This window comes from Homo sapiens, chromosome 7, assembly GCF_000001405.40.
Source record: "Homo sapiens chromosome 7, GRCh38.p14 Primary Assembly".
In the NCBI taxonomy this organism is placed as follows: Eukaryota; Metazoa; Chordata; class Mammalia; order Primates; family Hominidae; genus Homo; species Homo sapiens.
The window spans coordinates 92,731,441-92,745,643 of record NC_000007.14 but is presented as its reverse complement, the minus strand read 5'-3'; the positions used below and the strand labels follow the sequence as shown (position 1 = coordinate 92,745,643).

At 38.1% G+C, this 14,203-nt stretch overlaps 1 protein-coding gene across 3 annotated transcripts in view, besides 2 other annotated features; it reads left to right on the top strand.

The window, feature by feature from the left end:
* CDK6 (cyclin dependent kinase 6) overlaps positions 1–14,203 on the top strand; it is a 231,653-nt gene that overhangs the window by 90,930 nt on the left and 126,520 nt on the right. The window lies entirely within an intron of this gene.
* Positions 7,390–7,539: an enhancer, noted in NCBI's record as "active region_26272". NCBI's record gives its function as "activates an Ori minimal core promoter by ATAC-STARR-seq in GM12878 lymphoblastoid cells {active_cell/tissue: GM12878}" and the evidence as "EXISTENCE:reporter gene assay evidence [ECO:0000049][PMID:35858748]".
* Positions 7,740–7,809: an enhancer, noted in NCBI's record as "active region_26271". NCBI's record gives its function as "activates an Ori minimal core promoter by ATAC-STARR-seq in GM12878 lymphoblastoid cells {active_cell/tissue: GM12878}" and the evidence as "EXISTENCE:reporter gene assay evidence [ECO:0000049][PMID:35858748]".

The window sequence follows — 14,203 nt, the reverse complement described above, 5'->3', positions numbered from 1 at the left end:
CATATCCTGTGAAGATAAATATTATTTTATTAAAGAGGTTCAAAGAGCGAAGTACCACATTTGATCAGTTCTAAGATGCCCATTTTTTCACAAATGGGCCTTTGAAAACAGAACACATTTTGAAGTCACTGTTCGCAGGCATCAGTCCTGATCCAGTGGTGATTGCCTGCCCACGTGCCTGAAACTTGCAGAGTTACTCAATGGCAGGCATGAAAATCCTCGAGGTCATAGTAGAGTTCTACTGCTCTGTCATCAGTGCCCTTCATGGGACAGAAGACAAAATTGTGTGGAAAACACAGACATCTAACAACTCTGAGTAGAAAAGGATGTGAAAGAGCAGGACTCTGAATGTGAAGAAATTCTTGGAATACCTTCATCAAATTATTTCATTTCAAATTTAATTTTTAATGTATGTTCAAGAATGATAGATAAAATCCAAATGTGAAGAAGTCTGCAAGAGCCCTTTTAATGGGCATAATTAAAACTTCTGAATGATAAGAAATTGTGTCATGTCAGTTTGACAGTCATTTGTCTTTTTTAGTAGTACATTAAGATTTAGATTCGATAAAATGGACATGTTAATTAGCTTGATTTAATCATTCCACAATTTATACATTTATCAAAACATCACATTGCACCTCATGAATATATATATAGTTATTATTTGTCAATTAAAAATAAAATACACAAAATTACCCAAGGTCGCCCAGCGAGAAAGGTAAGAGTTAGGACCATAAAGCCTATACCTTGAGTCTCTTGCAGTGTACTATAGAGTGAAAGGAAGATGACTATACACTTTTTGTCTTACTTACAAACTTTCCACTCTTCGTGTTTCAAGAAATTGAGAACTGTCCAGGGAGTTGGCAGTGATAAAAATGTTACATATTTAACATTACTTGGAGAAATTTGGATTCTTCCAAATGCTGTAAAATAATAATGTGTACATTCATATAATAGTTTTACTTTTCAAAGCAGTTACACACATGCATATTACCTGATTAATAGTGTATGAGACAAACATAGTATCCTCCCATTTACCAATGAGTAAACTGATGTAAATGGAAATTAGGTAAAGTACTACTAAGAAGCAGCAACAGATCCCAAAGGAAAACTGAGGTCTCTGTTATGGTTTGGCTGTGTCCCCACCCAAATCTCACCTTGAATTGTAGCTCCTATAATTCCCATGTGTTGTGAGAAAGACCCGTTGGGAGTTAAGTGAATCATGGGGGCAGTTTCCCTCATACTGTTCTAGTGGTAATGAGTAAGTCTCACGAGATCTGATGATTTTATAAGGGGAAGCCCATTTTGCTTGGCTTTCATTATCTCTTCCCTGCTGCCATGTAACATGTGACTTTTCTCCTCCTTTGCCTTCCGCCATGATTGTGAGGCCTCCCCAGCCATGTGGAGCTGTGAGTCCATTAAACCTCTTACTCTTTGTAAGTTACCCAGTCTCTGATACGTCTTTATTAGCAGTGTGAGAACAGACTAATACAGTCTCTGTGCCAGTCCATGAAACATCTAATGATTAGCCTGCCAGGGAGGTCCTGAATAGCATACCTGTACTGAATAACTTCCCAGATTTGGACAAATATTGGAAAGACAATAAATTTTTTTTTTAGTTGCAGAATAAGAGATGTAGAATAAAGTGGGTGCACTAATCTCAAGCATACAGTTTGATGATGTTTTACTAGTGTAACCATCCAGATCAAGATACAGAACATTCCAGTCTTCCTTATGCCTTCCCCAGTCTATAACTCCCTCCCCCAGATGTAATCACTACACTGACTTATTTCATATAAAAAGTATGTGCTTTTTGTGTATAGCTTCTTTTACTGAGCATCTTGTCTGTGAGATGAATTTTTGTTCCTCTCTCTGCCAAAATGTTTCCCAAGTGGATAGACCATTTGTGTTTCACCATCAGTGTATGTGACTGCTCTCCATCTTTGTCAACTCTTGATATAGTCAGTTTAAACCATTGTAATGATATCTTATTGTGCTTTTAATTTTCAATTCACTGATGATTAATGAGGTTAACCTTTTTACAAGCTACTGGACTTTGGGTTTCCCCTTTTGTGAAGTGCCTGTTCACATCTTTAACCCATTTTTAAATATTGGATTGTGTGTCTTTTTCTAATTTAGTTGATGGAGTTCTTTCTTTTTTGAGACAGAATTTCGCTCTTGTGTGTCTTTTTCTAATTGAGTTGCTGGAGTTCTTTTTTTATTATTATTTTTATTTATTTTTATTTTATTTATTTATTTTTTTCTTTGAGACAGAATTTCGCTTTTGTCACCCAGGCTGGAGTGCAATGCCATGATCTTGGCTCATGGCAACCTCTGCCTCCCTGGTTCAAGCGATTCTCCTGCCTCAGCCTCTTGAGTAGCTGAGATTACAGGCACCTGCCACCACGCCCAGCTAATTTTTGTATTTTTAGTAGATATGGGGTTTCACCATGTTGGCCAGGCTGGTCTCGAACTCAAAGTAGCAGGAGTTCTTTATATATTGTGAGTATAAGTCCTTTGGCAGATACATGCAGTGCAAAAATCTCCCAGGATGTAGGGATTTGAATGGGATCCTTCCCCTCTCTCTTCACCGAGAAAGGGCAGCAAACTAATGGTCTTATCACTTGGACCTCTCTTCTATCTGAGCACTTAAAAAAATATAGAGAGACAAAATGTTTCCCTACTGCCTTTTAGCCTATTTTAGCAATTCATAATATGGAACACAAACATCCCATACTTGTACATTTTAAGTCTCCAGTAAAATATTTTTAACTGCGAACTCTAAATATGTTACAGATAATGAAGCCTCATAGCTAGGCTTTTAAATATTAAACACTTTCAATTTCCAGCATGCATTTTATCTTCCAAAAAAGTACAAAAGGGGTGTGTGTGTGTGTGTGTATATATATATGTATACATTTTATACATATAAAATTTTAACTGGTAAATTCAGAAAAAAAAGAGTTTACAAACTTTAAAGAAGAAAAACAATTTGTTTAGCCTACCATTGTACTACTTTGTGAATGAAGAGTCTAAGGTTGTGTGTGTATGTATATTTTGGGATGAGTGTAAAAACTGTATTCCTCTTAGATATATAGTTAAAGTACAAAATAAAAACAAACTACATTCAAATATAAGTGTTAAAGAAACACCAGATAGCACTGGTGAGCCTGATACCTCTTGGCAAACCAGCAAGTGTCATGTCTGACACTCTGAGATGACCCCAAAATCTGTGCTAAAAAGTTGCCTGCTTACAGCCTTAGCAGATAAAAACCTTCAGAAAACATTTTTGAAAGGTGCTGTGTGCTGATTCTGACAAACATAACAGAAGAACAGAAGCAGAGATTGGAAATATTCAAGGAAAGAAAGTACAATTTCTATTTCAAAAGAAACTTCTTACTTAGGGTATTTACCTTGGTTATTTTGCCTTTAAACTTTTGATTAAGCTTTTCACTCTCAACCTAAGCAAAGTTCAAGTTGTTCTGAGAGGACATTATTGATTTAGTTTTCATTCTAAAATATTTTAAACAAACTGAGTAAATCTTAAAAACAACCCAGTACTTATTTGTATCATTGTTTGTCTCTAAAATGGTTCATTTTATTGTCTGTCAGCACCACTTCTAGCTTTTACTTTTCCAATAATTTTATGCTTTAAATATTAAAAGCATAAAACTTATTGAGCACCTATTCTTCCCTAGAATCTGTCAGGAAGTGGCAGTTAAGAAAAACAAAACAAAACAAAAAACCCTGAATAACTTGTACTTACTATCTTCGAGTAGCTATAGTCTGTTGAGGACATAAAACAGTGCTGTTTATAATTTAGAAAGTTATGTGCCATTACTTAGAAAACTCTGAAGTACTATGCCGTCTGTTTCTGTGGAATATTTTTTTAATGGTCCTTAGAGGATTTATTTCACAAATTTTACCAGAGACTTACTACATTTTTTTATTTTCTAAAGACTGCTGGCTACTAACTTAAAAAGTAGGGTTGATTAAAAGAAACATTAATATATATGTATAATTTTAACTGGTAAATTCAGGAGAATCCAAAAAGTAAAAATCACCCATAATCCTACCATTTTCAACACCTGACAGAGGTAGCAATCTTTAACTGTAGCTATATCTCTTTCCAAACATTTTTATATATATTCAGACTAAAATTGCCAGATTTAGCAAATAAAATAAGGACATTCAGTTAAACTTGAATTTCGAAGAAACAACAAATGATTTTTTATTTAAATATGTCCCACATATTGCATGGGACACACTTAAACTAAAAAAGTATTTGTTGTTTATCAGAAATGCAAATTTACCTTAGTGTCCTACGTTTTATCTGGCCATCCTAATGCAAACATAGCCACACATACATAAACCTGTACATATATCTCTTGTTTTGTCAGAATAGAATCAAGCTGTATATATCACTCTAAGCCTTACTCCTTTCTCTGTCGATTTATCTAGTTTACATGTCAGAATTACCCATGTTCTTTCTAATTGCTGCTTGATATTATACAGAGAGACACATCATCGTTTATTTAACTATTCCTCTAATTGTGGATATTTTAGCTGTCTTCATTTTTTTACTCTTTCAAGCAAAACAGCACTGAATGTCTTTGTATTGACTCATTGTAAACTTGTTGGTTTTGTAGCCTGAATTCCTAGAAGTTGAATTACAAGGTTGTAGCATATTTTTAAAGCAGCATTGGGTCATTCCTTTCATACTTAGTGCCTGAGGCTGGAGACTTGAGGAGTTGCAGAGGGGCCACGTGTACCTGGGCACGAGGTGAGGAGGAGCTTAGGTTTCTGATGATATGGGCCTTGTGTGTGTTAGGCACCTTTCTGGCTTCTCAAATTCGGTTTCCCGCCTTCACTGTTCGCTCCATGAGACAAGGCATCCTTGTTCTCCAGCCTGCCACACAAGTTGGCTCATGATACAAATGTAGAATGAGTAAATGAATATGAATTTATTCAAGGGGTTGCTGAGAAAAATAAATGAAATAATGTATGCAGAGTACCTGGGAAAAAAATAATGTATGTAAAATGCCTAGGATGCTTCTTTATTTTTCTCATCCCACCCCCATTTCCAGTTACTTTCTTAGCATCAGGAGGCTGTAATCTAGGGAGGGTGACATTACAGTTAGAGTAAAGTGGAATAAGTTCTGTGCCAGAACTATGCTCAGAGCATTGTGAGATTATACGAGGCGGGCACATAACCTGTGCCTGTAAGGAGAATTGCCCAGGATGTGGCCAAAAGTTACTTAAAGTAAGCCTTGAAAGACAAGTTGAAAGGAGCCAGACAGACAAGATGTGTATGTTGGAAGATGTGTGTATATCGGGGGATAGGACAATGGAGCAAGCATTCCAGGAAAAGCAAATAGCATTGCAACAGAACAGAGATATAATAGAGCATGTTACCCTCAGAGCATAGTAACAGGGATGTAGGAACAGCTGGAAATTAATCCAGAGATAGTTAGGAAGCAGACGTTAAAGTGCTTTAGGTAACAATCTAAGTTTTACCTTTGTCTTATAGTGAACAGTGGGGGACTTCTGCATGACTCAGATTTACCTTTTAGGAATATCACTTAGGGCTAGGCATGGTGGCTCACACCTGTAATCCCAGTGCTGTGGGAGGCCAAGACAGAAGAGTTACTTGAGCCCAGGTGTTTAGACCAGCCTGGGCAACATAGCAAGACTCTGTCTCTACAAAAATAAAAATAAAACATTAGCTGAGCATAGTGGCATGTGCCTATAGTCCCAGCTACTCAGGAGGCTGAGGAAGGAGCATTGCTTGTGCCCAGGAGTTTGAAGCTGCAGTGAGCTTCACCACTGCACTCCATCCAGCCTGGGCAACAGAGTGAGATCCTGTCTCAAAAAAATAAATAAATAAATACCACTTAGTGCAGTGGAGAAAAGATTAAAGATGCAAAAATCTAAAGACAGGAGTTCTTTGTGTCGGAACACCATTGTAGTAATCCAGGCAAGAGATACTGACTACTTGGCAAGGGCCATGGAGATGGGAGAGAAGGGCTTATTTGAAAGGTAATGTAGGAACTATAATTACCATGATTTCGTGACTTGTTAGATATGTGTTTGGGAGGAGAGAAAGAATCTAAAATGTCTGTCAGATTTCTGAATTGATCATTTGGGTGGATGGTGGTACCATTATACCAGATAAGAAATACAGATGGAAGGACAGGTTTTGGTGGGAGTAAAGAAACTGTATTATTATTTTGGAACAGATGGAGATTACAGTTACCAGGGACTATTCTAAAAAACATAGCAGGAAGCATGTGTACATTTGCACATGCAGAAGTTTGCACATCTGGAGCTTGGGAGAGCAGCCCCAGCTGCCTTATGACTGGGGATGCCTCAGAATGTGACTAAATGTTGAAGCCACAAATGAATGGGAGATGAGGGGTGGAGGCAGAATTTAAAATTTAAGACAGTCTTGAGAAGTATAATTGCAAAGGTAATTATGGAAACACAAACAAATGGTGAATGTTTTTGGTAGCCATTATAGACAATAGCAAAGGGAGCTTACTAGAGACCCAGAGAAGGCAGTACCGAAAGCCCAGATGAAGTTAGAGACCATGATGTGCAACCACTTCAGACTTGTTATGAACATTTTCTCTCAGCAGTCCTAATTGTAGAGATGTGCAAATTGTTCTGAGATTAGGCCTTAGAGGACCAGTATAAGAAAAAGTGGAAGCCAATTTTTGGTGCCTGGAAAAAGAATAATACCAAAAGCTGACTGGGGGTTTTAGGTGGGCCAGGAAAAGTTTGAAGGCAAGAGGCGCACGTTTAAGAAAACAACTAGTTCAAGACATTTTAGACAGGGGTATCCCTAAATCAGAGTAGCACTGAATACATAAATTGTATTTGCAATGCAAAAACTTGGATACCTGTACTCTATTATGCTGAACACTAAGAGTTTCCCATCTATAGGGATGCCCATGTTTCCCTGGGCAATTCCTATTGTAATACCAATTTTTTTTTTTTTTTTCGGAGATGGAGTTTTGCCCTTGTTGCCCAGGCTGGAGTGCAGTGGCCGGTCTTGGCTCACTGCAACCTCCACCTCCAGGGTTCAAGCGAGTCTCCTGCCTCAGCCTCCCTAGTAGCTGGGATTACAGGCATGCACCACCATGCCCAGCTAATTTTGTGTTTTTAGTAGAGACAGGATTTTACCATGTTGGTCAGGCTAGTCTCAAACTCCTGATCTCAGATGATCTGCCTGCCATGGCCTCCCAAAGTGCTGGGATTACAGACGTGAGCCACTGTGCTGGCCTGTGATACCAATTTTAACATTAGCTGGATAAATTCTTCTTTGTAAGAGTCATTAGATCGTTAACCCAGTTCTCAGTTTTGCCTTGGTGGGTAGCTCTTCAGTTCCATTTGGCCTGAAGATCCCCCTTCCTCTGCACCTCCATGCTTTTCCTGACTAGTTGTGACCACCCAGATCCTCTTCCTCCAGCAGATTGAAGAAGTTGTTAGTGAGGAGTACATGGTCCTCCTTCCACTGGAGATACATTGGCTACCTCTATCATAACTGACTTCAGTTTAAAAAGTCAGTCCTTGCAACAACACAAAATAAAAAATGTTGAAGTCCCACCTCTATGGAGTCCCCATAAGCAGCTGTGCGTGCAACTCTACCCAAAACAGATAATATGCACAGATGTGTTTATGGGAAGGAGGCACAAGGACTTTCAGTGTGTTGTTTTCAGTTTCTCACCACTACAAGGGTTTCTTTTCTTTTTCAAGGAGGTACATTGTGGTAAGCATGTTTTATGACCCATAATAAAAACCCTTGTAAAGACCATTTTTTGACCAAATGAAGCTAAGTGTTCTTTTCAGAGTCCTTGTTTGCTCCTCTCCCCCTCTCTGTATTGGAATGCACACAGTTCAGCATTAATGGATAACATAAGGAAATAATGTCACAAATTCTAGTTCTTATTTGTTAAGTTGAGAAAGCAACCAGAGTTAACTATGTAAGAAAGTTCATTTGTAATGTTTTTCCCGTTTTGGTAGTAGCTTCAGAATATATATGTTGATTAAGTAAAATGGTATATTTCATGCTTATAGTATCCGGTTATTATCCTATAAAAAGCACCTAAGGACAGTTTCGGGAAATCTCAATAGTCAGAGAGGCCTACAGAAAAATCTGTCCAGGTATAGGGAAAAAGCAACTTAAAACCATTTTAGCAAGTTGGGTCATTTACAAAATGAAACATGTAATACATTCAATGAATAATAACAGATAATTTCTAAGGACCTAGACTTTCAAAATTAAGAACAGACCACATAACATTTGATTTAATTAAAACAACAGATATTTTAAGGATTATATTATAAGTTGTGTTTGTTGATCTTAATAGAGTGTTAGGGAAGATAGAAGGCTATCCACATACTAACTGGGGAAAATTCAGTGGATCTGAACTTATAGTATTATCACAGCCTCATCTTCATTTAGTGGCACCAGTGCTGAACCCATTACCCAAACTGGGAGGTTTACACATTGTTTACCCAAACTGGGAGGTTTACACATTATTTTTAGTTCTTGTAGCCACCCTACAAGAAAGTGTTGTCCCCATTTTACAGATGAAGAAACGAAGGTTAGATGCTAGCGGAGGGAAGATTAAATAACAGGCCCAAGATCACACAGTGTGCAACCTGGAAATGTAGCGGAGCTCTCCAAAGATGGGCCATTAAAATTGAACTGTGAGAACAAATATTAATATATCACATTTGTCTCTTGAATTGCTTTTCCCCTTGCTTTTTGTTTCAATATTCTAATTTAGACCTTCTCTATCATATGTTCAGAATAGTATCATAGCCTCCTTACACCACCTCCCATCCATTATGTATGCTAAAATGTCAATAATAACATGCCATGGTTTTACACATTTTTACTACTTACCCACTGAATATAAGATAAAACACTATAGACTCCCTGTGTCCACCAGCAATAAATCCCTTTGCAGTGTGGTCCCATTTAGCAGTGTGCCCTCTTTAGGACCCTGCCTGCTGGAGCTATAGCTGGTGTACAAACACGTAAGCACTTCCTCCTCCTCTATTAGTGTCCTCCATGACAGATGCTTCCCCACACCAAAACTAATACCAGCCTTCCTCCCAGATTGGCTTAGATGCTGCTCCCTCCTTGGTGCTTACTCAGTGCCTAGCGCTCTTGTGCCATTTGTGGTCCTTGGCACATACTGACATGAAGTATGTAGGTACATATTCTTTTCTCCCTGCTAGAGTAAGAGCTCCTTGGGACACTCTATTCAGGTGCTTCCGTGTAGCATCACCTGACACAATGCCTTACACATAGTAGGGACTTCATAGTTCTTTTGAATAAGTGGTAGCAATTTATTATGTGTATGAACTTTACAATAAATAAAGTGCTTAAGCATAATATCCTATGTCATATATATAACCATAATACACATAATCATATATAAATATATATTACATAATCTATAATATATCTTGTTTAAATCTTTTTGTGGGGTCATTTTCTCAAAAATAGATGTGAAAAGCAAGGCCCACGAAAGTTGCAAGTGACTTGTCTTAGATTATCTAACTTGCAAGTACAAATTTGGATCCAAAGCTTTTAGCTCAAAACCCAGTGCTCTTTCTTTTAAATCATACTGCCTTCAAAAATGGAAATTTACATCTCATGTCTAAGTGACTCACTTAGGTTTATACGTACCCAAAAGAAACTTTTTTAATACTTTTATGCCTCCACTTGGCAAGCAGTCAGTAAATTCTTAGTGAATAACCAATAAGCCACAATGCAGGATTATGGCTTTTTTGCTAAAGAAAGACTCAGGAATCAGTTTAATCGGTGAGAATGTTCTATAACTCCTGTACACAAAACCAAGAGCAAAGGTCACTATAATTCATCTTAATGCATATCTATAGACTATTGGGTGATTCATCCAATCAAGTAAAACCAAAAGATTTCTATGTATAACGTGCCTTGTTCGATTCTTGGAGAATATAAAGATGCATTGCATTCCTGTTCCTCAAGGAATTTGCAATCTAGCTGGATAGCGCTTGGCAGTTTAAAAAACAAATCAAATCTATAATATAAAATAATCAAATGTCTAGGTTCTCTCCACAGTTCTATGACAGAGGCAGGGCAGGATTTATTCTGGTTTTTATAAGTGAAAACCTGAGGCTCCAAAAAATTGGGACTTCATAGACACTGGGGACTACTAGAGGAGCGGGGAAGAGCTGAAAAACTACCTATTGGATACTGTGCTCACTACCTGGGTGATGGAATCATTTACACCCTTAGACATACAAAGGTATGAAATATACCTTTATAACAAACCTGCACATATACCCCCGATTCTAAAATAAAAGTTGACAAAAGTAAAAAATGAAATAAAAAATCTGTACTATTACAAAAATGATAAGAAGGAAGGTGGAACTTGCTTAATCAACTGACTAGTGGCTGAGTTGAACGGAACTTAGTAACACTGGAGTAAGAGACTGTACTTTGAGAAACTCTGATATGATCATATGAAATTAAAGTAGTATTAGGGGATTTGGCCAATAGTCCAATTCTGCATCCAAGTGAAGACTCAGGCAAAGTGATTTGATCTGTGGAATACTTCTCTTAGAGATGGGAGAGGATAAGGTACTTAAGCTAGTCCTACCCCAAGCTGTGGAACAATGTGCTGAAATCCATGTCTCTTGACCCCTGGGCAAGTTGCTTCTGAAAGAGATGGTAAGATAGGAAGCATCCTTCATTGTTTTTGTTCAGTGTGTCAGTGTTCATTATAGTCATGGGAGTTTTATATTTCTAAAATAATGAGCCCAAAGTCTCAACACATATGAACATGTTTTAATGGCTAAAAGGTACGAATACTGATTTATATGCCATGCCTCTTTTGTCCCTATCCCGTAATCCAAACCTGCTCTTTCTGATTCCCCTGGAGTTTTATCGCATTCCTCCTAAAAGGAGTCAGTGAGTTCTTTTTAAGCTAATGGCCTTCATAGATTTCATGGTCATTTTTAGTTTTGTTTGGGCCCTCACTTCTTTATGAAAACTCATTGAGCATTTATTGACACCCATTAGTACAATGTGGTGGGAGGCCAATAAATCTAGAGGAAGAGCAATTTAAGCAGGACCCTGCCAGGAGTTGGGGCCATGGGGCAGTAAATGAGTAAAGATGGCAGAAATCCACAGAGTACCAGGAGGCAGGGCCAGAGAGCTAGGTGGGCTTTGGCTGAGGGGGCTGAAGCAGGAGAATTATCTGATAGGATCAGGTTTACACTTTTAAGGGTTCAGTCTAGACAGAGAGTACAAGATGGATTTGAGGACTGAGATCAGTGGGGAAAGGCTAGGTAATGGTATATGTGAGGAAGGAGAAGGCGGACCAGACCCGCTATAGTGGGAGCCTCAGAGGTGTAGGAATTGTATTTAAAAAGACACGACTTTACTGAGGAGCCCAGAACAAGACTTGAGTAAATGAAGAAAAGGAAAGACTCAATATTGTAAAGGTATCTGTTATCCCCAAATCAATTTATCAATTTTTAAAAATCATTGAAAATACTAAAAGGATTTTTGGAAGGTGTGGGCACTCAATAAAATGATTCTGAAGTCAGTTCATAATCATAACATATAAGAATATCCAAGAATGCCAGACACGATGGTGCACACCTGTAGTCCCAGCTACTTGGCAGGCTGAGGTGGGAAAATAACTTGAGGCCAGGAATTTGAGGCCAACCTGGGTAACATAGACCAGCCTCTAAAAATAAATAAATACATATTTTTATTTTCAAAAAATATTCAGGAATGTTTTATAAAGAGTGGAAAGAGAAAACTTTCCCTGCAGATGTTAAAATTTACTCTAAATATTTAATAATTAAAGGAGAGAGGTACTCTAAACAGAGCCAGAAACAAAGAGCAAAAGTCCAGAAAATAACTTCAAGTAATTTAGAACATGAGAAATAGTGGCATTTAAAATTGGTGGGTAATTTAATGACTGCTTAAACCCTTTTGCTAATCATAGAATATAAATAAAAATAGAAAAATATAGAACCATTAAAAATTAAGCTGTAGATCTACATTGCCAATAGATCTACATGCAAATGAGTTCAGTATACAGCATGATGTGAAAAAGACAGTTACAAAATTGTATGCATTCGCATTCCATTTAGAAAACAGAGACTAACCATCTGCATGAGTATTATGTAGATGGCAAAAATGGGATGAGGTTAAAGAAGTCAAAGTTCTGAAGCTAATATTAGCTGGGCATCCTAGTGATGTTGGAGTCCTGCAGGAAGACGTTGAGTGTGGGGTAAACAGGATGAGCCATGGTTCCTGGGGAATATAGAGAGTTGACAGTAAATGATAGTGATGGCAAAGGCGATATTATAAACATTAATGGAAGGAGGTACACACCTCAAAGAGAAAAGGATAACCACCTGAAAGGGATGATTGCCAACAGGAAAAGAATGTTGGTACAGGCCCCATTGGGTCTGTACCTCACCCTGGGGTGAATCATGGTGGCTATAAATGAAAGATAATGTTCATAACATATTTAAGTTAATATAATTTTAATTAAGTTAGATTTGTTAGAATAATTTTCAGCTGCAAATTACAGAACACTCAATGAAAAGTGGATCCAGATAAGGGCATTATTATATACATAACTACAAGGCTGGAGGCAGACAGCCCTAAAGTTGATGCAGCTATTCATTGATGTCATCAAAGACCCAGACTCTTTCCCTGTTTACACTCTGGCCTTTTATGTGTACAGATGATGTTTCAAGATGGTTGCTACAGCTCGGTAGCATTCAGTATAAGACGTGGGTGAGGAATGGGAGATGAGGAAGTACAGCAGAGAGCATTCTACTGTGCACCTCTTATCAAGGAGGAAAATGCTTCCTGAAACTCTCTAGCCAATTTGCCCATACAGGACTGGGTGTCATGTTCATCCCTGGATCAATTCCTAGCAAAAGGAAATGTGATTGCCTTCATTGGCCTGGACCAGGTCTTCATGGCTGACAACCAGCAGTATCTTCTATATCACACAAATAATTATCTGTTCTACTCTTGTGGAAAACCAGCTCCTCTAAGCATTACCTCATTTGAAGAGGAAGGAAGTACAGAGTGAGGGGAAAATTCTCAAAAGAGGGAATTGAGAGGAAGAATGTGGAAAGATAAGAAAGTATTTTGTCCAATTGCAGCCATTAGAAAGCTTATTAAAATTTCTTCTTCTGTTTTTGAGAGCTGTCGCCCAGGCTGGGGTGCAGTGGTGCAATCACGGCTCACTGCAGCCTCAACCTCCCAGGCTCAAGTGATCTTCCCACCTAGGCCTCCCGAGTAGCTGGGTCCACAGGCATGAGCCACCATGCCCAACTAATTTTTTGTTTTTTGTAGAGACAGGGTCTCCCTGTGTTGTCCAGGCTGGTCTCAAACTCCTGGTCTCAAGTGATCCTCCCACCTCAGCCACCCAAAGTGCTAGGATTACAGGTGTGGGCCACCACACCTGGCCTAAAATTTCATTATAGAAAAGTGTGTGTTGAAATGGGGAAATATTCACAGCACATTGTAAAATGTTTTTAAAAGCCTCACAAAACAATGTGTATAGAATGATAGCCACTTGGGTCATTACCCAACAACCTAGGAACTTGGGCTTCATGTTTTCTTACTTCTTTACCCAGTGCTGATTTTTATCTCCTGCTCTGAAGAAATTATGTTTAGCATTGCATATTTGCAGTTTCAGTTCCTGATGATTTTCCACAGTGGGTTAAAAATAGCCATTATGATGAGGTAATGATTTATTCTTTCATGTTGTTCATTTAAGTCATTACATTGTTCCTCAAACACCAACATTTTCAGGCTTGGTGGAAATGACTTATTATCTTTTTTTTTTTTATTTCCAGTTAGTTGAGACTGATTCTTTACCTTCTCAGCATTATCATCACTTCCAGGAATGAATAAAAAGTGGGTTCTGTTCTCATTTCAGAATACATATTTGATTATTAAAATTTACATGCAATGCCACTTTATTACACTTTTATCCAGTTGCCTAGAAGCAGTAAAAATTAGAAGCCAGTGTTTCCATTTAGGGCCCATGCCTTTGTTTCTCCTGAGGGGCCTCGAGGTGATGTGTGCCTGACTCATCATGCACAGTGGCAAAGAGACGGGTACTATGGCATTGCTGGACTATGCTTTGCTGTGGAACAA